At 42.9% G+C, this 27,502-nt stretch overlaps 1 protein-coding gene across 10 annotated transcripts in view, besides 6 other annotated features; it reads right to left on the bottom strand.

The window, feature by feature from the left end:
- GCNT1 (glucosaminyl (N-acetyl) transferase 1) overlaps window positions 1-27,502 on the bottom strand; it is a 113,548-nt gene that overhangs the window by 15,994 nt on the left and 70,052 nt on the right. The window contains exon 1 of one of the 10 annotated variants that reach the window (NM_001097635.2): window positions 12,893-13,082. The exons of the other annotated variants lie outside the window; for them this stretch is intronic. The gene's annotated coding sequence lies outside the window, so the exon portion shown is untranslated. Of the gene's footprint in view, window positions 1-12,892; window positions 13,083-27,502 lie in introns of those variants that run through there. 10 annotated transcript variants of the gene reach the window in all.
- Window positions 18,760-18,839: an enhancer, noted in NCBI's record as "active region_28478". NCBI's record gives its function as "activates an Ori minimal core promoter by ATAC-STARR-seq in GM12878 lymphoblastoid cells {active_cell/tissue: GM12878}" and the evidence as "EXISTENCE:reporter gene assay evidence [ECO:0000049][PMID:35858748]".
- Window positions 19,190-19,459: an enhancer, noted in NCBI's record as "active region_28477". NCBI's record gives its function as "activates an Ori minimal core promoter by ATAC-STARR-seq in GM12878 lymphoblastoid cells {active_cell/tissue: GM12878}" and the evidence as "EXISTENCE:reporter gene assay evidence [ECO:0000049][PMID:35858748]".
- Window positions 20,171-20,240: an enhancer, noted in NCBI's record as "active region_28476". NCBI's record gives its function as "activates an Ori minimal core promoter by ATAC-STARR-seq in GM12878 lymphoblastoid cells {active_cell/tissue: GM12878}" and the evidence as "EXISTENCE:reporter gene assay evidence [ECO:0000049][PMID:35858748]".
- Window positions 20,261-20,350: an enhancer, noted in NCBI's record as "active region_28475". NCBI's record gives its function as "activates an Ori minimal core promoter by ATAC-STARR-seq in GM12878 lymphoblastoid cells {active_cell/tissue: GM12878}" and the evidence as "EXISTENCE:reporter gene assay evidence [ECO:0000049][PMID:35858748]".
- Window positions 20,261-20,936: a biological region, named in NCBI's record as "NANOG-H3K27ac hESC enhancer GRCh37_chr9:79085403-79086064".
- Window positions 20,275-20,936: an enhancer, noted in NCBI's record as "NANOG-H3K27ac hESC enhancer chr9:79085403-79086064 (GRCh37/hg19 assembly coordinates)". NCBI's record gives its function as "activates a minimal SCP1, AML or CMV promoter by ChIP-STARR-seq in naive H9 embryonic stem cells {active_cell/tissue: H9 hESC(naive)}" and the evidence as "EXISTENCE:reporter gene assay evidence [ECO:0000049][PMID:30033119]".

Genomic DNA, 27,502 nt, shown 5'->3' with positions numbered 1-27,502 from the left:
CTGGGGGGACACCCATTAAATACCACAAGGAAATCATGGAGTTATTGCATGCAGTGCAAAAACCCAAAGAGGTGGCAGTCTTACACTGCCGAAGCCATCAAAAAGGGGAAGGAGAGGAGAACAGCAGCATAAGCAGCTGGCAGAGGCAGGGAAAGACCAGCAGTAAGGAAAGAGAGAAAGAGAAAGTCAGAGAGAGAGAGAGAGGAAGAGACAGAGACAAAGAGGGAGTCAGAGAGAGAAAGAGACAAAGTCAAAGAGAGAGAGGAAGAGAGACAAAGAGGGAGTCAAAAAGAGAGAGACAAAGAAGAAGTCAAAGAGAAAGAAAGAGAGATGGAAGTAGTAAAGAAAAAAGTGTAATCTATTCCTTTAAAAGCCAGGGTAAATTAAAAACCTATAATTGATAATTGAAGGTCTTCCCTGTAACACTGTAACACTCCAGTACCACCTTGTTGTCAGTATAAACAAGGGCGTAGCCCAAAAGCACTGAGACCACTGACAACTCACAGCCTTCTGATCAAAAATCCTTAACCCAGCAGGTTTCCTTACAGGGGATCTAAATCTTAACTAATTATCATACAAAGGTCTGACCTAGGAGGAACTCCCTTCAGAACAGGAAAAGACACAATGGGTATTCAGTAAGTGATAAGAAAACTCTTGCAGTTAGGAAACTTGCCTAATAATTGGTCTGCTCAAACAAGTGAGTTCTTTGCACTCAGCCAAACCTTAAAGTACTTACAGAATCAGGAAGGAGCCATCTATACCAATTCTAAGTTACTATGGACTGAACAAGGTTTTATTAATAGCAAACAAAAATTAAAATCCCAAACTTACAAGATTTTCAACAAAAGTAAAGTTCGCTAAACGTTAACAGTGTAACGTGTATTATCCTAACTTCTAATCTTGTGGAAATCAGACCTTGTCAGTGCCCCTCAAAGCTCAAGTCTGTCAGCACAGGGCCATACAACTAATACCTCTACGTATAGGGTTAGAAATGGCCACTGCTACAGGAACCAGAATATCAAGTTTATCTACTTCATTACTACCACACACTCTCAAAGGATTTCTCATACAGTTTGCAAGAAATAAAAAATCTATCCAGTAAGGATAGTAACTACAATCCCAAATAGACTCTTTGGCAGCAGTGACTCTCCAAAACCGCTGAGGCCTAGACCTCCTCACTGCTGAGAAAGGAGGACTTTGCACCTTCTTAGGGAAAGAGTGTTGCTTTTATACTAACCAGTCAGGGATAGTACGAGATGCTGCCCGGCACTTAGAGGAAAAGGCTTCTGAAATCAGACAACGCCTTTCAAACTCTTATACCAACCTCTGGAGTTGGTGGACATGACTTCTCCCCTTTCTAGGTCCCATGACAGCCATCTTGCTATTACTTGCCTTCGGGCCCTGTATTTTTAACCTCCTTGTCAAATTTGTTTCCTCTAGGATTGAGGCCATCAAGCTACAGATGATCTTACAAATGGAACCCCAAATGAGCTCAACTAACAACTTCTACTGAGGACCCCTGGACTGACCCACTGGCCTTTTGACTGGCCTAAAGAGTTCCCCTCTGGAGGACACTACAACTGCAGGGCCTCTTCTTAGCTCTTATCCAGCAGGAATTAGCTAGAGCGGTCATCACCCAATTCCCAACAGCAGTTGGGGTGTCCTGTTTAGAGGGGGGATTGAGAGGTGAAGCCAGCTGGACTTCCTGGGTCAAGTGGGGACTTGGAGAACTTTTCTGTCTAGCTAGAGGATTGTAAAAACACCCATCAGTGCTCTGTGTCTAGCTAGAGGATTGTAAATGCACCAATCAGCATTCTGTAAAAATAGACCAATCAGCACTGTGTAAAATGGACCAATCAGCATTCTGTAAAACGGACCAATCAGCAGGACATGGGCGGGTCCAAATAAAGGAATAAAAAGCTGGACACCTGAGCCAGCAGTGGCAACCCGCTGGGGTCTCTTTCCACGCCTGTGGAAGCTTTGTTCTTTTGCTCTTCACAATAAATCTTGCTGCTGCTCACTCTTTGGGTCCACACCACCTTTAAGAGCTGTAACACTCACTGCAAAGGTCTGCGGCTTCATTTTTAAAGTCAGTGAGACCAAGAACCCTCCAGAAGGAACCAACTCCAGACACATTATGATTATGGTTTGACCAATAAAGTTTGGCAAAAGAAATACTATGTCACCATCAAGGCAAGGTCATGTAAAACCATGCAGCTTCCGCCCAGTTGTCTTGAAAAATGTGCTCTCTAGATAGAGGCTCCCTTTTAGAACCAGCTTCCATGCTGTAAGAAGCCACATGGAGAGACCAGATATAGGTACCTTAGTCAACTGTTCCAGCTGAACCCTGTTTTCAAGTAATCCCAGCCAGATGTCTGACATGTGAGTGAAGAAGCCATCAGATGACTACAGCCCCTAGTAACTCCAGTCTTCACCGAATTCTTGACCAACAGAATGTGTGAGCAAAAAAATAAAATGATATTGTTGTATCCTACTACATTTGAAGTGGTTTGCCTCATAGCAATAGATGACTAGAACAAACAGGAAACCACATAAATAGAACTAGCAAATAAAAAGAGCCCTTGAAAATTATTAACATGATAGCAAAAATGAAAAACTCGGCCAGGTGCGCTGGCTTAGGCTGGGCACAGTGGCTCAGGCCTGTAATCCCAGAACTTTGGGAGGACGAGGCAGACAGATCACCTAAGGCATGAGTTTGGGACCAGCCTGGCCAACATGATGAAACCCTGTTTCTACTAAAAGTACAAAAATTAGCGGGGCATGGTGGTGTGTGCCTGTAATCCCAGCTACTTGGGAGGCTGAGACAGAACAATCGCTTGAACCCAGGAGGAAGAGGTTGTAGTGAGCGGAGACTGTGCCATTGCACTCCACCCTGAGCAACAGAGCAAGACTCCAGCTCCAAAAATAGAGAAACTCAATAAAAGGGTTGGAAGATAAAGTGAGAAACACTCACAGCGAGTTAAGCAAATAGACAAACTGAGGGATGAGAAAATAAAACAAAACATACAGTAATTTAGAGAACTAGATCAGGAGACCTACCATACGAATAACAAGAGCTCCAGAAAAAGAAAACAGAAGAAAAAGAAAAAAGGAAAGAAGTCGTCAACTAAATAATTCAAGAGTATTTCCCAAAATGAAAGAATGGTTTCTAGATTGCAAAATCTTCTAGGGTATCAGCACAGTGGATGACAATAGACCCACACCAAGATGTATTCATTAATCATGAAATGTCAGAACAATGGGAGGAAGAATACTGCATATACTTTCAGGGGAGGGGGGAAACTAAGCCACATCAAATGGATTCAGAAGCAAAATGTATTCCAGCTACTGTCCAGCTACTGGAGAATGAGTTATATTCAATAATTATTAGACAGGTGCCATGGCTCATGCCTCTGATCCTAGCACTTTGGGAGGTGGAGGCGAGTGGATCGCCTGAGCCTAGGAGTTCAAGACCAGCCTGGGCAACACGGAGAGACTCTGTCTCTACAAAAAATATGAAATTATCTGCGTGTGGTGGTGTGCACCTGTAGTCCCAGCTACTCAGGGGACTGAGGTGGGAGGATCACCTGAGCCCAGGAGGTCAAGGCTGCAGTAAGCCATGATCGCACCACTGCACTCCAGCCTAGGCAACAGGAGTGAGACCCTGTCTCAAATATATGTATGCATTATTAACCAAGAAAGGGGAGGATGTAAGAATCAGAAAGGAGATCTAACCGAAGAAGAAAAAAAAGAGAATCCCCAGGTCAAGGAACATCTAGGCCATATAACAAGCCAACAGACAACCACAGCAGACTGGAACCTGTCAGAAGGCCCTGGGAGAGACATCTTCAAGAAGACAAAACTGGCTGGGCGCGGTGGCTCATGCCTACATATGCACGTAAGCATATGCACACATCTATGCATAAACAAACCGCTGATGGATAAACCTGGGTCACCAACCTATTGCCCTTCGGCAGCAGGAAGCATGGTCTAAGTTCAGTTGGCTTCTAGTCCCAGTGAATACTTATCAATTTCACTGACTCTCCAAGGACTACTGTTCAGTGTCCCAGAGGCTGCTGTGACTGGAGCAAAATACCAACTACTGTGTTTGATGTCAAAGCCATGCCAGTATCTCGGAGGACTGTGACCCAAGTGAGGGAGCCCAAACGCCACCCAAGGTAGGTCAAGGGAAGGAGCAGGAAACAGGTAAGATCACAAGGCGAAGGCCTTGCCATTCAGGGTGGAGTTCTTTCTGGCCAATTGCACTTTCATAGCCTCATCTCATCTTAGGGTATTTGGTCTCTGTCCCCACCACAACCTTGCCCTGCTTGGAGGGTAGTCTCTGATACCTGTCTGTGACTCCCTGCAGTGAGCTGCTTAGCTCCTCTGTGGTCTCACACTGAACAAACTGCTGAGACCCTAACTGTGGCTGGCCATGAGGAACCGGCCAAGCTCTTCTGCTAAAAATTTAGATCTAGTTTTGTTTGTTTGTTTGTTTGTTTGTTTTAAGTAGAGATGAGGGTCTCACCATTGTGGCCAGGCTGGTCTCGAACTCCTGACCTCAAGTGATCCACCCACCTCTGCCTCCCGAAGTGCTAGGATTGTAGGCATGAGCCACTGCACCCAGCCCTATTCTTTCTTCTCTTTTGACTGCCAGAAAAGAGTTCTGTTTCTAGTTCCCCACAAACTTGCAGGAACTGAAGATATCTAAAAGCATACTCTGTTTAAGATAAAATGATAATAAGCAATTTTTCAAAAAAGGCTAAGTCCCTCAAACACAAAGAATATAACTGAAGTAGTAGCATCAAAAATTTGAAAATTAGAGGTAGTGAATGATAACTGACTTGGAGATCTCAGGAAGCTGAATCCTAAAGCAGGCTATGGGGAAAGCTGAGACCGTGCAATTTACAGCCCACCTTCTGCTGAAAGGTAGACTAAAATAGAGCAATGCTTTCCAAATTCTGAAGGAAAACTGTTTTCAACTTGGAATTCTAAATAACCAGCCAAGCTATTGGTCAAATGTGATGTAACAGAAAGGCATTTTTATACAGCAAAGTCACATGCACCTTTCTCAGCAGGTTACTATGAGAAGTATGCCACTAAAAGATGAAATTCACCAGCAACTGTAAGAGCATTAACAACATCACTAACCTGGAGTGCTTAATATGCTCTGGAACTCTTCTAAATGGCTTACCCGTATTAACACATAGAATCTTCAGGAGAATGCTACATAGAAAGTATTATTTTCCAGATAAGGAAACTGAGGCATAAAGAGGTTAAATAGCTCTTCGAACGTCATATGGCTAGTAAGCAGAAGAGCTAGGCTTCAAACTCACATAATCTGGCCCCCAAGTTTGCGCTCTACTGCCCATTAAGAAAAAGACAGGATCTGGCCAGGCACAGTGGCTCACGCCTATAATCCCAGCACTTTGGGAGGCCGAGGCAGGCAGATCACTTGAGGTCTGGAGTTCAGGCCAGCCTGGCCGATATGGCGAAACCTCATCTCTACTGAAAATACAAAAATTAACCAGATGTGGTGGCGCACACCTGTAATCCCAGCTACTTGGGAGGCTGAGGCAGGAGAATCACTTGAACCTGGGAGGCGGAGGTTGCAATGAGTGAGACTGAGCCACTGCACTTCAGCCTGGGTGACAGCAGAGTGAGACCTTGTCTCAAAAAAAAAAAAGGAAGAGACAGGATCCAGTAATCAAGGGACCCAATATAAATGAGAGGCAACAGAAATCCTAGGATTACAAAGACAGATCCCAAGATGATGGTTGTGTGGGAGTACTAGGAAGAAACCAGTCCTTAATTAAAGCAAGTAAACAGCTCCAGAAAATATTTGAGAGAAACAGAGAACCCCTGCTGTAAATTAATGGATTTAGAAGAGATTTTGATAACTAAGGTAGAGTTCAGAATTAAATAAGTAAAATGCAGGCCAGGTGCAGGCCAGAATTAAATAAGTAAAATGCAGGCCTCCCAGCACTTTGGGAGGCCGAGGCAAGCTGATCACTTGAGGTCAGGAGTTCAAGACCAGGCTGGCCAACTCGGCAAAACCCTGTCTCTACTAAAAACACAAAAAATTAGCCGGGTGTGGTGGCATGCGCCCATAATCCCAGGTGCTTGGGAGGCTAAGGCAGGATAATCACTTGAACCTGGGAGGTGGAGGTTGAAGTGAGCCGAGATAGCACCACTGCACTCCAGCCTGGGTGACGGAGTGAGACTCCATCTCCAAAAAACATAAAAGTACATATAATAAACAAACAATATGAAAAAATGCCATTGAGTACAAGTGAGTAAAATATGCCAACAAGTATGTACAATAAAAGAAATCATGGTCGGGCGCGGCGGCTCACGCCAGTAATCCCAGCACTTTGGGAGGCCAAGGTGGGCGGATCATGAGGTCTGGAGTTTGAGACAAGCCTGGCCAACATGGTGAAACCCCGTGTTTACTAAAAATACAAAAATTAGCTGGGTGTGGTGGCACGAGTCTGTAGTCCCAGCTACTCTGGAGGCTGAGGCAGGAGAATCACTTGAATCTGGGAGGCGGAGGTTGCAGTGACCCAAAATGGTGCCACTGCACTCCAGCCTGGGTAACAGAGTGAGATTCCATCTCAGAAAAAAAAAAAAAAAAAAGCAATCATGGTATGCTATGCTCAGTTTATACATGGCTATAGTAATATAAACATTGAGTTGTGGTCAAACAAAAAGCATGACAATATACAGAGGGTCTCAAAACTATTTTCATAATAATACTAGGCCATTCTGCACCCTTTTCACTCCCTCTGTGTTATATACGGCGCAGTTTTCCAGGGTCTACATGATGTGTTTGTTTTCAACAGAATAAGTGCAGAAGTATCAGAATTCAGGTATTTTCTATTAAGTCAAACAGTAAAAGAGATTTGCAAAAATACAAAAACACTGTTATTCTTCCAATTTTTCTGAAAAGATTTTCACAAGAAATTACTTATGTTAAAATAAAGGGCTTATCATTGTTATTTTCACAGAAGTAATACTTAAGTTTTTTGCTTTCTCTCTCTTTTTTTTTTTTTTAAGACAGGGTCTCAATCCATCACCCAGTCTGTAGTACAATGTCATTATCTTGGCTCACTGCAGGCTCAAACTCCTGGGGATCCTTCCACCTTAGCCTCTCAAGTAGCTGCAACCACAGGTGCACCTGGCTGCTTATTTTTGTAGAGATAGGGTCTCACTATGATGCCCAAGCTGGACTTAAACTTGATCTTGAATTCCTGGCCTCAAGCAAGCCTCCTGCCTTGGCCTCCCAAAGTGCTAGGATTACAGGCGTGAGCCACCATGTCCAGCCTCAGTTTTACTTTCTGATAGAATATATACCAATAGATATAACCCACATAAACAAAAGCTCTTTGTGATCCTCAGTGATTTTTTTAAAGTATAAACAGTGCTGAAATAAAAAAGTTTTCAGGCCAGGCATGGTGGCACACACTTACGATCCCAGCTACTTGGAAGGTTGAGGCGGGAAGAACACTTGAGCCCAAGAGTTCCAGATCAGCCTGGAACAACCTGAATCAACATAGCAAGACCCCATCTCATATTTAAAAATACACACACACGACAAAAAGTTTTTCAGAATCATTGACTTTGGGGATGAGAGACAGCCAGGAAATGAGTGCAAGTGTGGTGGAGGGTTTTGGTTGAAAGAGAATTAAACCCTCCTTAATGGTCAGGTGTGGTGGCTTGTGCCTGTTATCGTAGCACTTTGGGAGGCTGAGGTTGGAAGATCACTTGAGCCCAAGAGTTTGAGACTAGCCTAAGTAAAATGGTGAGATACCATCTCTACAAAAACAAGAAAAATTTAAAAATTAGCTGGGTGTGGTGGTGCACGCCTGTAGACCCAGCTACTCAGAAGGCTGAGATGGGAGGATCACTTGAGCCCAGGAGTTCGAGGCTGCGGTGAGCTATGATTGCACCACTGCACTCTAGACTGGGTGATAGAGAAAGACCCTGTCTCTATTAAAACAAAAAACAATAAAAAAAAAACCCCTCCTTAATAGTAGAAAGAACTTAAAGCTGAATAATTTAGAAACCATATAAGCATTATTATTTAGAGATATGAAAATACACACCTAAAGAAATCTGTAAAAAGTTGAAAATGGTTAACTTCAGGGCTATGCAGTAGAGAATGTTAGCTAGTAGTCACATGCAACTACTGAGCACTTGAAATGAGGCTAGTCTCAACAAATACTTTTTTAAAATTTTAATTATTTACATTTTAAAACTTGAAGCAGTATTAAATGTCTTTCCCTTAAACACATTACTGTTTCGGTAGGACTATATTTCACTTTAATGACATCATGTAAGATACTATTATTACATTGTAATACAAATATTAGACACATGTATCATTTCAATATTTCACTTTTTTATACTGTTTACATATTAACATTATAAAATTTTGATATACTAGATTAAAGATAATATACTGTTAATTTGGCCAGATGCAGTGGCTCACACCTATAATCCCAGCACCTTGGGAAGCTGAGGCAGGAGGATCACTTGAGTCCAGGAGTTTGAGACCAGCCTGGGCAACACAGTGAGACTCCCATCTCTACCAAAAAAAAAAAAAAAAAAATTAGCCCGGTGTGGTGGCGCATGCCTGTAGTCTCAGCTACCCAGGAGGCTGAGGTGGGAGGATCACCTGAACCCAGGAGATTGAGGCTGCAATGAGCCATGATCACACCACTGCACTCCAGCCTGGGTAAGAGAGCAAGACCCTGTCTCAAAAGGATAAAAAAAGATTTTACCAGTTCTTTTTTTTTTGAGATGGAGTCTCCCTCTGTTGCCCAGGCTGAAGTGCAGTGGTGCAATCTTGGCTCACTGCAAGCTCTGCCTCCTGGGTTCACGCCATTCTCCTGCCTCAGCCTCCTGAGTAGCTGGGACTACAGGCGCCTGCCACCACGCCCGGCTAATTTTTTTTTGTATTTTTAGTAGAGACAGGGTTTCACCGTGTTAGCCAGGATGGTCTCGATCTCCTGACCTCGTGATCCGCCCGCCTCAGCCTCCCAAAGTGCTGGGATCACAGGCATGGAGCCACCACGCCCAGCCCTGATTCTTTTTTTTTTAATGCTGCTACTAGAAAATTTTATTTCTCACATTATATTTCTAATGGACAATGGAGTTTTAGGGAGTAGGAGATTTGGGGGGCCATTGGGAGAAGCATGCTGTTTTTCGTAAGTACAACTCTTTGTTGGGAGGCAATTCGCCATGGGTGGCTTGCATTTCTGTACATCTTGCAAGTGAGGCACTGTCTTTTTGTTCCAGATAATTTTTTCAAGGCTATTTTTATAGCAAACAGCCTAGAAAGACAGAGATGGTGTTTCCCTCCCTAGCAAAGGGCAAACCTTCTTACTGACAATATAATAAAGACAATGTTACCTGGGGCAAAGCACAGCATGCTTACTGCCCACTATAAAAGATTTGGCTTCTCTAAGCTCAGGGTTTCTTTCCCATAATGCAACCCACTGTTTGTAGTTATCACTTGGCCCTCTTCATACTGCCCTGTGGGAATTAAGGCTCTAGCAACCTAAAAGAAAAATGCTGATCCTCTGCTACTGCTTAATATAGGTCATAAATGGCACTTCATCTCTGGCCCAGGAGTCTGTGTCTTTTGCCAGGATCCATGAAAATTGTTAACAGGCTTGTTAACTTTCAAGTAGGGTAAAATCTCAGACCCTTCGTAGTTCTTGACACGCTTGTGGAAATATCTTCTTTTTTAAATCACGTGCATTTATAACTCTAATTAAAATAAGAACTACATTTTTAAAAAGCCTTACAGGTAGTGATAAAATTAAGACCTATAAAGATGGCTAATCAGCTTTTATATATAACTGATACAAATCAATGTTCTAAAGCAGGGGTGTTCAATCTTTTGGATTCCCTGGGCCTTATTCCCTGGAAAAAGAAGAAGTGTTTTTGGCCACACATAAAATTCACTAACACTAACAATAGCTGATGAGCTTAAAAAAAAAAAAATCACAAAAAAAATCTCATGTATTAAAGTTTACAAATGTATATCAGGCAGAATTCAAAGCCATCCTTGGCAGTGAGTTGGACAAGCTTGTCCTAAAGTCTTGATCAAGCAGAAGGGGTACAGGAATTTCCTTTTCTCCATTCCTATTTTCTTTTTACAATTCCACTCACCATTTAATCCCATATATATATATGTATTTATTTATTTTGAGACGGAGTCTTGCTCTGTTGCCCAGGCTGGAGTGCAGTCGCACAATCCCAGCTTACTGCAACCTCAGCCTCCTGAGTAGCTGGGATTACAGGCACACGCCACCAATCTGGCTAATTTTTGTATTTTTAGTAGACATGGGGTTTCACCATGTTAGCCAGGCTGGTTTCGAACTCCTGGCCTCAAGCAATCCTCCCACCTTGGCCTCCCAAAGTGCTGGGATTACAGGCGTGAGACACCACGCCCAGCTATTTTTTTTTTCTGAGTAATCCTATATTAAAACATATTTTATAATTATATAAAAAATGTTAAAATACATAATGAAATTTGATGCCTCTAAGTTAGATGAAATTAAATAAAATTAGGTTTCATCTGTGTAGTTTACATACAGAAGAAAAAATATCAGTTCTCCATGCCTGAATTAATGACATGAAAAGTTCTACAGAATTTTTTTCTTGTAATCATTATACTACTTTGAGACAAAATGTCATTTAAATAACCCTTGCATTTCACTCATTAATGAAAATAGTATTTATTAGCACGTTAACAGAAGAAAAAGCATCCTCTTTCCCCATGCTCTCTCTCCCAAAGGCACACCAGGGACACACCAGCTGACAGCCTGGGGGAAGAACTGACACCTACCCTTTCTGCCTATTGACTTTGCAGGAAAGATGAAATACACCCTCAGTCTATGCCACAAAGCGGAAAACTGTAAATTTGTCAGGAGGAAAAGAATCAATATCGTGAAAATGGCCATACTGCCCAAGGTAATTTATAGATTCAATGCCATTCCCATCAAGCTACCAATGACTTTTTTTCACAGAATTGGAAAAAACTACTTTAAAGTTCATATGGAACCAAAAAAGAGCCCGCATTGCCAAGTCAATCCTAAGCCAAAAGAACAAAGCTGGAGGCATCACACTACCTGACTTCAAACTATGCTACAAGGCTACAGTAACCAAAACAGCATGGTACTGGTACCAAAACAGAGATATAGACCAATGGAACAGAACAGAGCCCTCAGAAATAATACCACACATCTACAACTATCTTGTCTTTGACAAACCTGACAAAAACAAGAAATGGGGAAAGGATTCCCTATTTAACAAATAGTGCTGGGAAAACTGGCTAGCCATATGTAGAAAGCTGAAACTGGATCCCTTCCTTACACCTTATACAAAAATTAATTCAAGATGGATTAAAGAATTAAATGTTAGACCTAAAACCATAAAAACCCTAGAAGAAAACCTAGGCAATACCATTCAGGACACAGGCATGGGCAAGGACTTCATGTCTAAAACACCAAAAGCAATGGCAACAAAAGCCAAAATTGACAAATGGGATCTAATTAAACTAAAGAGCTTCTGCACAGCAAAAGAAACTACCATCAGAGTGAAGAACCAACCTACAGAATGGGAGAAAATTTTTGCAATCTACTCATCTGACAAACGGCTAATATCCAGAATCTAACTCAAACAAATTTACAAACAAAAACAAACAACCCCATCAACAAGTGGGCGAAGGATATGAACAGACACTTCTCAAAAGAAGACATTTATGCAGCCAACAGGCATATGAAAAAATGCTCATCATCACTGGCCATCAGAGAAATGCAAATCAAAACTGCAATGAGATACCATCTCACACCAGTTAGAATGGCAATCATTAAAAAGTCAGGTAACAACAGGTGCTGGAGAGGATGTGGAGAAATAGGAACACTTTTACACTGTTGGTGGGACTGTAAACTGGTTCAACCATTGTGGAAGACAGTGTGGCGATTCCTCAGGGATCTAGAACTAGAAATACCACTTGACCCAGCCATCCCATTACTGGGTATATACCCAAAGGATTATAAATCATGCTCCTATAAAGAAAGACACATGCACACGTAGGTTTATTGCGGCACTATTCACAATAGCAAAGACTTGGAACCAACCCAAATGTCCAACAATGATAGACTGGATTAAGAAATGTGGCACATATACACCATAGACTACTATGCAGCCATAAAAAAGGATGAGTTCATGTCCTTTGTAGGGACATGGATGAAGCTGGAAACCATCATTCTCAGCAAACTATCGCAAGGACAAAAAACCAAACATCGCATGTTCTCACTCATAGGTGAGAATTGAGCAATGAGAACACTTGGACACAGGAAGGGGGACATCACACACCAGGGCCTGTTGTGGGGTGGGGGGAAGGGGGATGGATAGCATTAGGAGATATACCTAATGTAAATGACAAGTTAATGGGTGCAGCCCACCAACATGGCACATGTATACATATGTAACAAACCTGCACATTGTGCACATGTACCCTAGAACTTAAAATACAATAAAAATAGATAAATAAAATGTATTGCTAGAAATACATATATGGCTTTACCCATACAAATTTCATTAATTCCCTTGAAAGCCAAAGGAATGTCCATGATTGCATTGTATCTGAATGAAGACCATCCTAATGGTTAAGAAAAAGCACGTGATAAACAAGATGTGGTATATCCATACAACGGATCAGTATTTGGTCTTAAAAAGGAATGAAATTCTGGCTTAGGGTACAACATGAATGAATCCTGAAGGCATTATGCTAACTCAAGTAAGTCAGACACAATAAAACAGATATGCTATTGTGTCTGAAATTTATTCCTTCTGGTGGGTTCTGGGTCTTACTCACCAAGAATGAAGCTGCGGACCCTCCCGGTGAGTATTACAGCTCTTAAAGATGATGCATCTGGAGTTTGTTCCTTCAGATGTTCAGATGTGTCCTGAGTTTCTTCCTTCCCGTGGGTTCGTGGTCTCCCTGACCTCAGGAATGAAGCCGCAGACCTTCGCAGTGAGCGTTACAGCTCTTAAAGATGGCATGCCCGGAGTTCTTTGTTCCTCTCAGTGGGTTCATAGTCTCTCTGACTTCACAAATGAAGCCACAGACCCTCTCAGCTCATAAAGGTAGTGCGGACGCAAAGAGTGACCAACAGCAAGATTTATTGTGAAGAGCAAAAGAACCAAGTTTCCACTACATGGAAGGATACCTGAGCAGGTTGCCGCTACTCGCTGGGATGGCCAGCTTTTATTCCTTTATTTGTCCCCACCCACATCCTGCTGATTGGTCCATTTTACAGAGCACTGATTGGTCCATTTTACAGAGTGCTGATTGGTCCATTTTACAAAGCGCTGATTGGTGCATTTTTACAGAGTGCTGATTGGTGCGTTTACAATCTTTGAGCTAGACACAGAGCGCTGATCGGTGCATTTACAATCCTTTAACTAGACACAAAAGTTCTCCAAGTCCCCACTCAACCCAGAAGCCCAGCTGGCTTCACCTCTCACTAGGATTCCACTTACAGAGGTACCTAGAGTAGTCAAATGCGCAGAGGCAGAAAGTAGCATGGTTGTTTCCAGAGCTGGGGGAGGGAAGAATGGGGAGCTACTGTTTTCATGAGTACAGTTTCTGTTTGGGATAATGAAAAGTTCTAGGAATGGCTAGGGTGAGATGGCTGCACAACAGTGCAAATATGCTTAATGCACTGAATTTCCTCAGATTTAACCTTGGGAGTTTTCAGTCTCTTTGTTATGATTTTAAAAGATGCAGCTGTCTTACTACGACGTGACTAGATGCACCTTCAGAGCAGGTAAGTGAATGAGATGAAGAATGTTACATGGAAGAGGCTTTTTTTTTTTGGAGACAGAGTCTCACTCTGTCGCCCAGGCTAGAGTGCAGTGGCATGATCTAGGCTCACTGCAACCTCTGCCTCCCAGGTTCAAGCAATTCTCCTGCCTCAGCCTCCTGAGTAGCTGGGACTACAGGCACGCACCACCATGCCTAGCTAATTTTTGTATTTTTAATAGAGACGGGGTTTCACCATGTTGGCAAGGCTGGTCTCAAACTCCTGACCTCGTGATCCACCCGCCTCGGCCTCCCAAAGTGCTGGGATTACAGGCGTGAGCCACCACTCCAGGCCCCAGAAGAGGCTTTTAAAAATTAATTTAAGAGGCTGGGCGCAGTGGCTCGTGCCTGTAATCCCAGCACTTTGGAAGGCCAAGGCAGGCAGATCACATGAGGCAAGGATTTCGAGACCAGCCCGGCCAACATGGTGAAACCCCGTCTGTACTAAAAATACAAAAATTAGCCAGGCGTGGTGGTGCACACCTGCAATCTCAGCTACTCGGGACGCTGAGGCACGAGACTCGCTTGAGCCTGGGAGGCAGAGGTTTCAAACGTGAGCCAAGATTGCACCACTACACTCCAGCCTGGTGACAGAGTAAGACTCTGTCTAAACAAATAAATAAATAAATAAAATTAATTTAAGAGAAGACAGTGAAGAACAATATATTAGAATAAGGGAAATATAAGTAGGTATGACCGCAGGTTGTCTGAAAAATAACCTTTTTGAGTTTAGTGTCATGAAAGTTTAGAGATAAAAGAACAAAGGTTGTCCAAGTTTCTCCAAAAGGCCAGTGTGTTTCCGACTGCCTGTGCACATTTACTGTTACCCCAATTTGCTTAAAGTATAAGTAACAGCGAAACACAGTTTTACATGGAAAAAACCTGTCCTCTCAGGCAGGAGACTTCATTTGCAGAGGCTGACTTTGATGGGCTTGAGCAGAAATATCTGTTTATATATACATACAGAAAACAAACAGTGTTTTTTTTTTTAAATAGCAATCTTCAACCTCATTATCATTGCAGGCCAAAAATGAGAATAAAAGATCTCATTGTCTACTTTGAAATTCCACACTGAAGAGTAATGGACTTTTTTCTTTTTCTCTTTTTTTTTTTCAAATCTAAAAGTAGGCAGTTTATAATACCAAATAGAACACCACGGTTTTATGGAAACAAAATTTTGGATTGGAAAATTAAAGTTCATTTTGTCCCCTCTTAAAGATTAGGTGGCCCTGGGTTTTTGGCCCTGAGGTCACCCATCCTGTGTGTCACATGGGCCACACGTCTTGGGTTTTCTGAACGGTCCCAATTTTAAGTACTTGAGCCTCCTAAATGGCTTGGTCTTAGAAATGCTAGTTCCCAAATTCTAGATTCCTTGTTTTTAGAGATAGCCCTCAAATCTGGATTTTCAGTTTGCTAAATGTGACTGTCAGATTAAGTATCCTTATTCCAGATGGCAAAAGGCTAACCATTAGCAAAAATAAAAAGCACTGTCTCCCCAATTTCCTCTACATGTTCAAAATCCAGCTCAACTCCTTCCTCTGGTCCTTTCCCAAACCACAATGATTGCCCCTCTTTGAAATCAACATCATTCACTGTTGGAGGCCACGGAGCAAAACAGAAGTGTGAAGTCAAACAGAAGTGAAGACATAGCCTATGTTAGTTACTTCCTAAATGCATGGTTTCCGCAAGTTGCTTAACCTCTCTGAGCCTTAGTTTCCTCATCTGAAAAATGGAGATATGGTAATGACTCCTCTCATTTGTTCAGTGATGTTTAAGTAATCTGTAAAGTGCCAAGCACAGTGACTGGTACACACAGCACATGCTCAATAAACAGGAATTATCGTCGTCTCTCACTTCAGCACTGAATCCCACATCACTCTGTCTCCGTGAAGCTATCCATGTGGGTGCTTTGGAGAGCCCTTAGTGGCCTCGGTCAAGTCTCAGGCTTGTCTCCCACACTACTCCGTGGGTCTATTCAATTAGCATGAACTCAAAAAATAAAAATAAAAAACATCAAATGTCCAAATATTACAAAATCCACTTCCTTTCTCCCAAAAAATGTAGGGCAGCATCTTGGATGCTTTGTGTTAAGTGTGCCTTATAGCTCATAGTCTTTTCCAGAGAGGAGCTCTGGAATCCCCCAAATCTTCCTGCGAATATGAATGTTACAGATTCTCTTTTTGGAGGCTTCAGTGTTAAGACACATCAGAGCAACCTCTTCAACCCTCAGGGACTGATTTGTGATCTAAGCTGTGAATGTGCCCTTTAAACAGCTTCATAAACCTGAGCGGCAATCTTTATTCTCCATTTCCACATCATCTAAATTATATTTTGGTACAGTTATTGAATTTGAAATTAGCACTAAAGCCAAGAATGAAGTAATTCTCATTGTAATGACATGAAAAGAGGTATGTGAGATGATGTGGTATTCAAAGATGAGCTGCACCTCAGTATGTTCAGAGAAAGCCGGGCGTGGTGGCGGGCACCTGTAATCCCAGCTACTCAAGAGGCTGAGGCAGGAGAATCGCTTGAACCGAGATCGTGCCACTGCACTCCAGCCTGGGCAACGGAGCGAGACTCCGTCTCAAAACAAACAAAAAAACCAGCCTCCAGATAAATATATTATAAACATGCACTGGAAAAACTGAGAAGCACACACCCAAAACTATTCAGTGAGGATCTTCTTTTTTGGAGAGGGGATGTTTATTCAAACACTTCTGAAATGTTTCCATTTTTTATGTTCACTTCAGTAATTTTCTTTAAAAATTGCCAACTGGGATAAAATGGTGACAGTTCTCCAAAATAAGCTCCAATTAAATATATTTGCAAAGCATATAATTTCCCAAAAACAAAAATCCATTGACAATCTAACTTCACTTACACATCCTCTGCGTTCACGTTCCATGTTCTCTTCTGGTACGTAACATTGCACAATACACTTATATTTTTGCTCAGATGTAATAGCAGCAGGGATTTCATTTTCTATTCTTTTTTGATTTATTGGCTATCAAAATATCATTTGTTTTTGTCACAATTAGTTTATCTTATGGTTGGATATTAAGGGTATTTCCAAATTATACTGTTATAAATATGAACTATGAATAGCTTTGTATATTCATAGCTTTGTTTTTGCTTTGCTTTTAAAGGACTTCCTTGGAATTCCCAGGAATAAGGATTTTAGGTCACTACTTGTAAGTTTCTGTGCCTCTTGTCTGCCTTCCAAATAAACGATACTTATACTGTCCCCAGTAACATCTGGATACCATTTTCTCTACATTTACTATACATTTTAATTATATATAATGTTAAATGACTGTATATGAATATACTGTATAATTATTTTTGCCGATATTGCAACTGTAAAATGGTACATCATCAAGGTTTCACTTTGTGATTTCTTTGATTACTAGTGGCTGAATCTTTTCTTTTCTTTCTTTTTCTGAGACAGGGTATCGCTCTGTTACCCAAGCTAGAGTGCAGTGGCGTAACCAAAGCTTACTACAGCCTCGACTTCCCAGGTTCAAAGCGATCCTTCTACCTCAGCCTCCTGGGTAGCTGGGAGTACAGGCACATGCCACCATGCCTGGCTAATTTTTATATTTTTTGTAGAGGCAAGGTCTTGCACTGTTGCCCAGGCTGGTCTTGAACTCCTGGGCTCAAGTGATCCACCTAGGCCTCCTAAAGTGCTGGGATGATAGGTGTGAGCCACTGTGCCCAGTCCTGAATATTTTCTCTTGGGTTTGTTTACATCTGAGACACAGAAGAGTACAGTGGCAATGATTTCAGCTCTCCAACCGGACTGCCCCAGCAGGAGACCTGGGAGTCATCATTCCCCAACCCAAACTTCAGCAAATTCTTAGCCTCTCCTAGCTTCAGCGTTTTTGTTGTTTTTTTAAAAAACTAATTAACTTTAAACAATTTCATTGGGGAAATTATCATATATACCTTAGAGTTTTTATAAAGAGTAAGTGAGCTAACTTGTAACATGTTTATACTGTATTTGACAAATAATGAGCCCTTAATATTGGCAATGTATTATTATTCATTATTTTCCCTTTTTTGACTTTTGTTCAAATCTGAGCTCATGTCTAAGGGTAACTTTTTCAGACTTCAAAAATGAAAATCCATATTTCCAGTTTACTAACAAATACTTCAATATACTCAATTCTATACTGAGAATCTATTATACAAAATAGATTCCTAGGCTCTGGGGAGAAAAATACAAACATAAATAATACATGCTCCCTGCTCTCCAGGAATTCACTCAGAGGTTATATGCTGAGGTTTCTGGAGGAAATTATAGGCTTGGTCAATATAGTTAGAAACTATTTTTAGAACAATGCATCCATTGTAGAGCTGAAAGAAACTTCAGGAAGCATCTAGTGTTGCTGGAAACAGCAGCTCTGGGAGCAATTACTAGGTCTTCAGGCTAGGGGTGGAGTCTGTGGTCCCATAAATTACAAGAAACAAAGACGTAAAGACAGACAAGTGTCGCAGGGCACAGTGGCTCACACCTGTAATCCCAGCACTTTAGGAGGCCGAGGTGGGCAAATCATCTGAGGTCAGGAATTCTAGACCACCCCGGCCAACGTGGTGAAACCCCGTCTCTTCTAAAAATACAAAAATTAGCCAGCCATGGTGGCAGGCGCCTGTAATCCCAGCTACTCCGGAATATGAGGCAGGGGAATTACTTGAATCTGGGAGGCAGAAGTTGCAGTGAGCTGAGATCACGCCATTGCACTCCAGCCTGGGTGACAGAGCGAGACTCCATCTCAAAAAAAAAAAAAAAAAGAAAAGAAAAGAAAAGAAAAGAAAAGAAAGACAAGATTCTCTGTTGCTGGTTTGGCTCCTTATTTCTTAGCCCTTAAGACAGTCAGGTCTACTGTAAATATTTAAAGACAGAGACATGGTATTCAGCATTTCTCAAACTTACATGACAAAGAAAACTTACAAGAAGAGCATATGGCAAGTCCATAACAAAAAAGTCCATCTAGCCCCAAGTTGCACCCTCCTCTGTAACTCAAGAAAAAGCTGAGGCCCTGGGGCATAAGGGTCAAGATCTAGTGGAAAGCTGCCTTTAACCAGAGCCTGCAGCTTCACCCTTGTGGGTATGTGTTCTTTCACGCTCTACTGCATTCCCTTCACTCAATTCTACTTTTTTGGGAGGGAGGGCCACCCACAGAACCCCAAAAGAGACATCTGACATTTCTTTGTGGTGTCAGTCACACATTCTCTTTTCTCATTTCCTTTTTTTCTTTGAGACAAAGTCTCGCTCTGTTGCCCAGGCTGAAGTACAGAGGTGCGATCTTGACTCACTGCATCCTCCGCCTCCCGGGTTCGGGTTCAAGTGATTCTCCCACCTCAGCCTCCTGAGTAGCTGGGATTACAGGCGAACGCCACCACACCTGGCTATTTTTTTTAATTTTTAGCAGGGACGAGGTTTCATCATGTTGGCCAGGCTGGTCTCGAACTCCTGACCTCAAGTGATCTGCCAGCCTTAGCCTGCCAAAGTGCTGGCATTACAGGCTGAGCCACCATGCCCAGCCCCTAGTCCATTTTTAAAAAATATTTACGGGAGGCTGATGTGGGAGAACCAGTTGAGCTGACTGGGGAGAAGCAGCAGTGAGCTGTGATCATGCCACTGCACTCCAGCCTGGGCAACAAAGCGAGACTGGTCTCAAAAGAAAAAAAAATTTACATCTTATTTTGACCCAAAATAATATTACTGAGCATGACCAATCTACCTCATAATGCTAACTTCTGACATGCTGCAAAATCACATCTACCATCAAAAACTGGTGTCTTTCCTAATAGGAGAATACAGCACAGAGGACATGCCTCAAAATGGTCAGAAATGTCTTTGGAAAACACTTATGTTAAAGGTACTAATTTCCACTTATACATGTTTTTTTAAATCCTGTATTTTTATAGCCATGCCTCTTATTTTCAGGGAACTCATAAGTTTTCTGCCACAAGTAATCAACAACAAAATTGGTGGGCTGTCTATTTCTGACTTGAAAAACACTTCTGCATAGCAGTGAGACATACATGCACGGGTTTTTATCTATACCCTGGGGTTTGTGGAAGTCAAGCGCCCCAGGCAGGAGCACATTCCTGGGAGCAATTCTGGGAGCAATTACTAGGTCTTCAGTATAGGGGTGGAGTCTGTGGTCCCATAAATTACAAGAAACAAAGGCATAAAGACAGACAAGTGTGGCAGGGCACAGTGGCTCACACCTGTAATCCCAGCACTTTAGGAGGCCGAGGTGGGCAAATCATCTGAGGTCAGGAATTCTAGACCACCCTGGCCAACGTGGTGAAACCCCGTCTCTACTAAAAATACAAAAATCAGCCAGCCATGGTGGTGGGCACTCCAGCAGCAGATATAGCATGTGCTTCAGGATTTTTAATTGCAAACCAGAGGTTTTGTTAATTAGCATAAGTAGTGTGAGAACCAGATCCTCACAAGGTGAATACAAGGACTGTGTTGGTTAGCATAACAGATGTGAGAAATGTGTAGACAATGGATGAGATCAGGGGCTCCACCTATATGAAAGGATTAGGCATATTTCAGAGGCAAGTTCTGCATTTACATGAAGAGGACAAACAAGCCTGGCGGGCCCCAAAGTCTGGGATGGTGTCCTAAGCCCATTCCTGGATCCAGCTGCTGATTTCAGGAAATTCTTGATCACCTGACCCCCGCTGAATCTTGGACTAACCAGAAGACGTCTGCAAATTGCACATTAAGTGGCTTTAAAAAAAAATTAATTTTTAATTGACAAATAATAATTGTATATATTTATGGGGTATAATGTGATGTTTTGATAGATGTATACATTATGGAATGATAAAATGTACACATTTCAAGAGAAACAAGACATGTATACAATGTATTTATCACTCTTTAGTTTGAGCATTTTTTTTTTTTTTTTTTTTTGGGACAGGGTCTTGCTCTGTCACCCAGGCTTGAATGTGGTGGCCCAATCACAGTTCACCACAGCCTCGACTCCTGGGCTTAAGCAATCCTCCCAACTCAGCCTCCTGAGTAGCTGGGACTACAGACGCACACCACCACACCCAGCTAATTTCTGTATTTTTATGTAGAGATGGGGTTTTACCATATTGCCCAGGCTGGTCTCGAACTCCTGGGCTCAAGCGATCTGCCTGCCTCGACCTCCCAAAGTGCTGAAATTACAGGCATGAGGTACCACACCTAGCCTAAGCACTTGTTTTTAATCCAGCAGTAATTTTCTTTTCCACTGGATAAACTGGAGGGGTATATCACGAGAAAGAGGCTGTTTTAAAGTTCACCAGCAAGCAAGTTTTCAGACTGCCTTATTTATAAATATATGTATATATTTTATTTACATTATATACATGGCATATCTATACAGTTACATTTACACTTGACTTAGAGTCAAAGTCATATACACACACACAGGACTTGGACTCAAAGCTTTTAATGACAAGCATGCAAAATTTCTTAGTATAGACCCTAAGAGTACCCTTAATATAAGTATGTTTATTTAAAAATTCTATGTATCTACTACTGTTACCAGGGGGTCCTTGCTCCCAGAGCTCCCAAGATGGTGGCAGGCCACTTCCAAAATGGTGGCAAGCCTCATGTTCTCTGACCTGGGGTTCTTGGCCTCACAGATTCCAAGGAATGGAATCTTGGGCCATGCGGTGAGTGTTATAGCTCTATTAGAAGCCATGGGTCATGGAAGAGAACCGTGGAACCCAGTGACTAATGTTCAGCTTGATTAGGATGAACCCAGGCACTTAGCCGTGCAGGAACAATGGCAAGCCTTTAGCCCGATCGGGAGCGGCAATGGGCGCCTCGCTGGATCAGGAGCACAGCGGACACCCTGCCTGATCCAGAGGGATGGAAGTCAGTGGCAGGTCTGCAACAGCGGCAAAGAACAATGGTGGACAATAAGCAAAAGCTCAGCTCAAGCCGTAACAAACACGGACCAGAAGAGAGTGCAGTTGCAAGATTTAATAGAGTGGAAACAGAGCTCCCATACAAAGGGAGGGGACCCAAAGAGGGTAGCCGTTGCTGGCTGGAATGCCTGGGTTTATGTCCTGATCATTGTCCCTCCCGCTGTGCTCTCAGGCAATAGATGATTGGCTATTTCTTTACCTCCTGTTTTTGCCTAATTAGCATTTTAGTGAGCTCTCTTCACTACCTGATTGGTCGGGTGTGAGCTAAGTTGCAAGCCCCATGTTTAAAGGTGGATGCGGTTACCTTCCCAGCTAGGCTTAGGGATTCTTAGTGGGCCTAGGAAATCCAGCTAGTCCTGTCTCTCACTATTGTACTAATAAATTACATGTATCATAATTCAAAAACTTGGAGGATGCAATAAAACTTATTACTTCAATTATAGTAGTGCACTCTTGGCTCTGCTACCTAAATCTTGACACTTAGTTTCCTCTATCCACCAATCACATAGTTTTTTGGCGAAATTTGCCCAGTGGGTTTCAATCAATTGTAAAGACTAATCAAAATAGTCTGCAGGTGCCCCATAAAGTTAACAAATGGATTAAAAACTCATTGTTACTTTTCAATTAAAGTAGTATGACAATTCTGTTTCCCAGTTTTTAATTTTTTTTCCTTTGAGAGCTTTGATAACTCACAAATGTACAATATTTTTTGGCAATATGTTCGCATTACAATGAAAACTTCTCCACACAGCCACTTCCCAAATGCCCCTTGGTAGCAGAAATTTCTTTTGAAAAGTAATTCACTGTAAGAACCTCACATTTACCTTGGATTTTTCCCTTCTCCCCAAAATATCTGACTACTGATAGGCATAGCAAAATTGGAAAGAGGCAACACATTTGAAACCCCATCTTTCTGCTAAAGAGAGATGCAGACACCTGTAAACTCAACCACTCTTACGTATCTGGCAACAAAAGAACTAGGAATGCTCTGATGGGTGCAAAGGATGGTCCTGCTCCCTCCCCAGGGCATGGCAAAGGACGACAAAGCTTCTACAGACTAAAGCAGTGATTCTTTCTCATGCCATGACATATATACCAAAAGGTAACCATCAAACATCAGCTTCAGCTCTCTTGGCTTAAGGGAGAGGGCTGAGAGAAATGCAGTATCTCAGTACACCTATCACCCGCTCAGGGACAAGTCTAACCTGAGATGCTCTAATTTAAAGCCTTTGTGTTTCTAAAATTAAACAACTCGATGACACTCTATAGCTCCTAACTTGCAACATCTCACAGTATGCTTGATGGCCAGGTGAGCAGGGCTCCAGCTAGGCAAGGAATCCCTGCCTCCTTATCCACCTTAGAAACCACATTCACCGTACAAGACACAGGACTGAAGGAGGGTCGGCGCGCGGTGACTCACGCCCGTAATCCCAGCACTTCGGGAGGCCCAGGCAGGCGGATCACCTGAGGTTAAGGAGTTCGAAACCAGCCTGGTCAACATGGTGAGACCCTGTATTTACTAATTAGCCAGGCATGGTGGCATGTGCCTGTAATCCCAGCTACTCAGAAGGCTGAGGCAGGACAATTGCTTGAACCTGGGAGGTGGAGGTTACAGTGACCTGAGATTGTGCCACTGTACTCCAGCCTGGGCGACAGAGCAAGACTGTCTCAAAAAAAAAAAAAAAAAAAAAAAAAAAAACACTGAAAGAGGGACCACTGGCATTCTTGACCTTAAATGCTTATAAAATTATAAATAGAGGTTCTTACACTTCCTTTCAACACCCCCAAAGGACTGTCCTTCGCTTCCTGCTTTGGATACCAATATAATCTCAACCTCGTTTTCTGTCCTACACAATTGGTCTCAGCCTTATTTTCTGTTCCACACAACTGACAAATGCAGTAAACTCCAGGCAGCAGGGGCTGGAGCTCAACACAGAAGAGTGGCTTTAACTGGACTCAGGGCCACTCAACAGGCAAGTAGCTCTCAATCTGGTTTGTACACTGCAACCACCAGGGAGCTTTCAAAAAGGACCAATAACGAGTCCCCCTACCAGAGATTTGATGGAATTGATATAGAGTTTGACCTGGGTGTCAGGTTTTTTTAAAAGTTCCACAGGTGTTCCTAATGTATAGCCAACACCGAGAACCATGACATGGAACATGAACCTGCATGATGTGGAAGGGGCTTGAAAAGGTCCTTCCCCTCCAGGACTGTCACCCCTAGTGGCTTTGATGCCCATCAAAAGATCAGCTGAGGCTGGGTGAGGTGGCTCACGCCTGTAATCCCAGCACTTTGGGAGGCCAAGGCGGGTGGATCACTAGGTCAGGAGATTGAGACCATCCTGGCTAACACGGTGAAACCCCATCTCTACTAAAAATACAAAAAATTAGCTGGGCGCGGTGGCGGGTGCCTGTAGTCCCAGATACTTGGGAGGCTGAGGCAGGAGAATCGCTTGAACCTGGGAGGCGTAGGTTGCAGTGAGCTGAGATCGTGCCACTGCACTCCAGCCTGGGCAACAGAGCAAGACTCCATCTCAAAGAAAAAAAAAAAAGATCAGCTGAGCATTTACTGCCTTTAGTTAACAAGCCTGTAAGGTCAAAGGTAGGAAGCAATTTGTAGAAAAAGTGGTGCAAGGCTATTTCAGGTGTACAGGGCCAAGCTTCAAGGTAATCATCATTCATAACACTTTCCAGGGAGCCAAACACAAAGCTTGGCACTAGAAAATGCTTACTAAATGCTGGCTGAAGAAATATCTGACTGCACACACAGACACACCCCAAACTCAGCCAATGGTTTTGCCACTTCCTTCAGAAAAAGTCCTCACGATTCTGGACCCAAAATCTAAAGCATCTTTATCCATCCTCTCCCTCCGTCCTTCCATCAAAGACCAAATTCTGCACTGTGTTCTCACCCTCTCTGAAAACTGGTCCTATCATTTATTTTACCCTCCTGCATCTTTAGGCTCTTCCTCTCTACCAGAAAATTCCCAGTAGTGGCCAGACACAGTGGCTCATGCCTATAATCCCACACTTTGGGAAGCCAAGGTGGGCAGATTGCCTCAGCTCAGGAATTTGAGACCAGCCTGGACAACACAGATGGTGAGACCCGTCTCTAGAAAAAGAATACAAAAATTAGCCAGGCGTAGTGCTGTACACCCTTGGTGCTACTTGAAGGCTGAGGTGAGAGGATGGCATGAGCCCCAGAGGGTGGAGGTTGCAGTGAGCTAAGATTGTGCCACTGCACTCCAGCCTGGGCAATGGAGAGAGATCCTGTCAAAAACAAAACAAACAAAATCCCAGTAGCATTAGAGCATGTTTAAATTTCTTCCATCTCAATCTGAAACAAAACAAAACATCATAGACCCCTCATTTCCTCCCTGCCCTGCATGAATATCACACTTCTCAGTACCCTTAACAGGCCTCTCTTCCTCTACCAAATACAGTGATCAAACTCTACGGGTCCAGCCCTTTTCTTTTCTCATTCTACACCCTCTTTGGATGAGTGCTTTTTATGCAGTAATACTTACATGCAACAGCTCCCAAACATGTATCTCCACCCCAGATCTCTTCCAGGAGTAGCAACTGTCTACTCCTCATCTTTACTTGGATGTCTCACAAACAAAACACACATCCAAAAAGGCATTATCTTCCCTCCCACACCTCGTGCCAACCCGCTCCTCCTCCTGTGTTCTCAATCACCATAATGGTTCCACCATCCCATCCTACTCAGTTGTTTATGCCAGAAACTTTTGAATCATCCTTGCTACCTCCCTCTCCATCAACCATATCCAAATAATCACCACCTTCTTGCTGATTTTAACTACAAACCCAATCTCACTCAATCTCAATCCTCACCTGTCATTAAGCGTTATCCAGTGCTGCTACGCCATCACTGGGTGACTGCAAAAGCACTGTTTGTTCACATCCACCCTCCTCCTCCCCAGGGTGGCCACATGATTGCACAGGCTGTGCCTGCGTAACAAGTCTGGCTCAGGGGGCTGAAGCCTTTTGACCTGGCCTAGCTGGGACACAGTGGTGCATTTTTTCTAATTGGTCCACACAGAATAGAAGCCTTTCTTGGGTTTGCACAAAGACACCAAACGTGCCAGCAGGACCTACCTCTCTAAACTATTCTCTACACAGCAACAGCGATCATTTTACAAACTCAAATTAGGCCAGGTGCGGTGGCTCACACCTGTAATCCTAGGACTTTGGGAGGCCGAGGTGAGAGGATCACTTGAGGTCAGGAGTTCAAGACCAGCCTGGCCAATATGCTGAAACCCCGTCTCTACTAAAAATACAAAAATTATCTGGGTGTGGTGACGCACATCTAATTCCAGCTACTTGGGGCAGAGGTTGCAGTGAGCCGAGATTGCACCATTGCACTCCAGTCTGGGTGACAGAGCAAGGCTCCGTCTAAAAAAAAATAAAAAAAAAAAAACTCAAATCAGAGTCAGGCACAGCAGGGCCTATGCAGTCCCAGCTACAAGGGAGGCTGAGGCAGGAGGATCACTTGAGCCCAGGAGTTTGATGGCAGTGTGCTATGATTGCTCCTGTGAATAGCCACTGCACTCCAGCCCGAGCAACATAGCAAGACTGTCTCAAAAACAAAAAAATCTCATTGGAAACTGGAGAAAATGAACTGGAGGAATGTGAGCAACACTACTGCCTGCCCTAACAAGGAAAATTGAGAGGATATTTCACCATATCAGGGATCTGCCTAAGAACATTTCTGAGAAGAATGTAGGAAGTGCTATCTGGCCCAGTATCTGCCTTTGAGAAAATGTGAGAGAGATGAACTAAAGAAGTATATTCAATTTTTAAGTAGAATTTAGAGAAAACATGAAGGACTCAGGACTTGATGGGTTTAAAATAAAACTACTTCTAGTCAGATATGGTAGCCCATGCCTATAGTCTCAACTACTTGAGAGGCTGAAGTGGGAGGATCACTTGAGCCTAGGAGTTCAACTGAAGTGTGCTATGATCTCACCTGTGAATAGCCACTGCACTCCAACCTGGACAACAAAGTGAGACACTGTCTTCAACAAACAAAACAACCACAAATCAAAAACACTTTAGTGGCCAGGGATGGTGGCTTACACCTGTAATCCCAGCACTCTGGGAGGCCAATGTGGGCAGATCGCTTGAGCTCGGGAGTTTGAGACCAGCCTGGGCAACATGGCAAAACCCCATCTCCATTAAAAATACAAAAATTACTCAGGCATAGTGGCGTGTGCCTGTAGTCCCAGCTACTCAGGAGGCTGAGGTGGGAGGATCACCTGAGCCTGGGAGGTGGAGGTTGCAGTGAGCCAAGATGGTGCCACTGCATTCCAACCTGGGCAACAGAGTGAGACCCTGTCTGCAACAAACAAACAAACAAAAAGTGGGTTTCCACTATGCTGACATTAAAGTCCAAAATCCTAAAAATGACCCAAGACATATTTTACTCTTGATCTCAACTCTTTCAGCCTCTAAGTTTATCCCCTAATGTACTTCACTAACTCCTACTAATCCTTCAGCCTTTTTTTTATTATTATTTTTACAAAAAAAAAAAAAAACAAAAAAAGAGATGGGAGTCTCGCTATGTTGACCTGGCTGGTCTCAAAGTCCTGGCCTCAAGCGATTCTCCCATCTCAGCCTCCCAAAGTGCTAGGATTACAGGTGTGAGCCACCATA

This window comes from Homo sapiens, chromosome 9 (genome assembly GCF_000001405.40).
Source record: "Homo sapiens chromosome 9, GRCh38.p14 Primary Assembly".
NCBI classification, from domain to species: Eukaryota; Metazoa; Chordata; class Mammalia; order Primates; family Hominidae; genus Homo; species Homo sapiens.
Note: the sequence above shows the minus strand (reverse complement) of the source record. Positions and strands in the feature narration are given on the sequence as shown.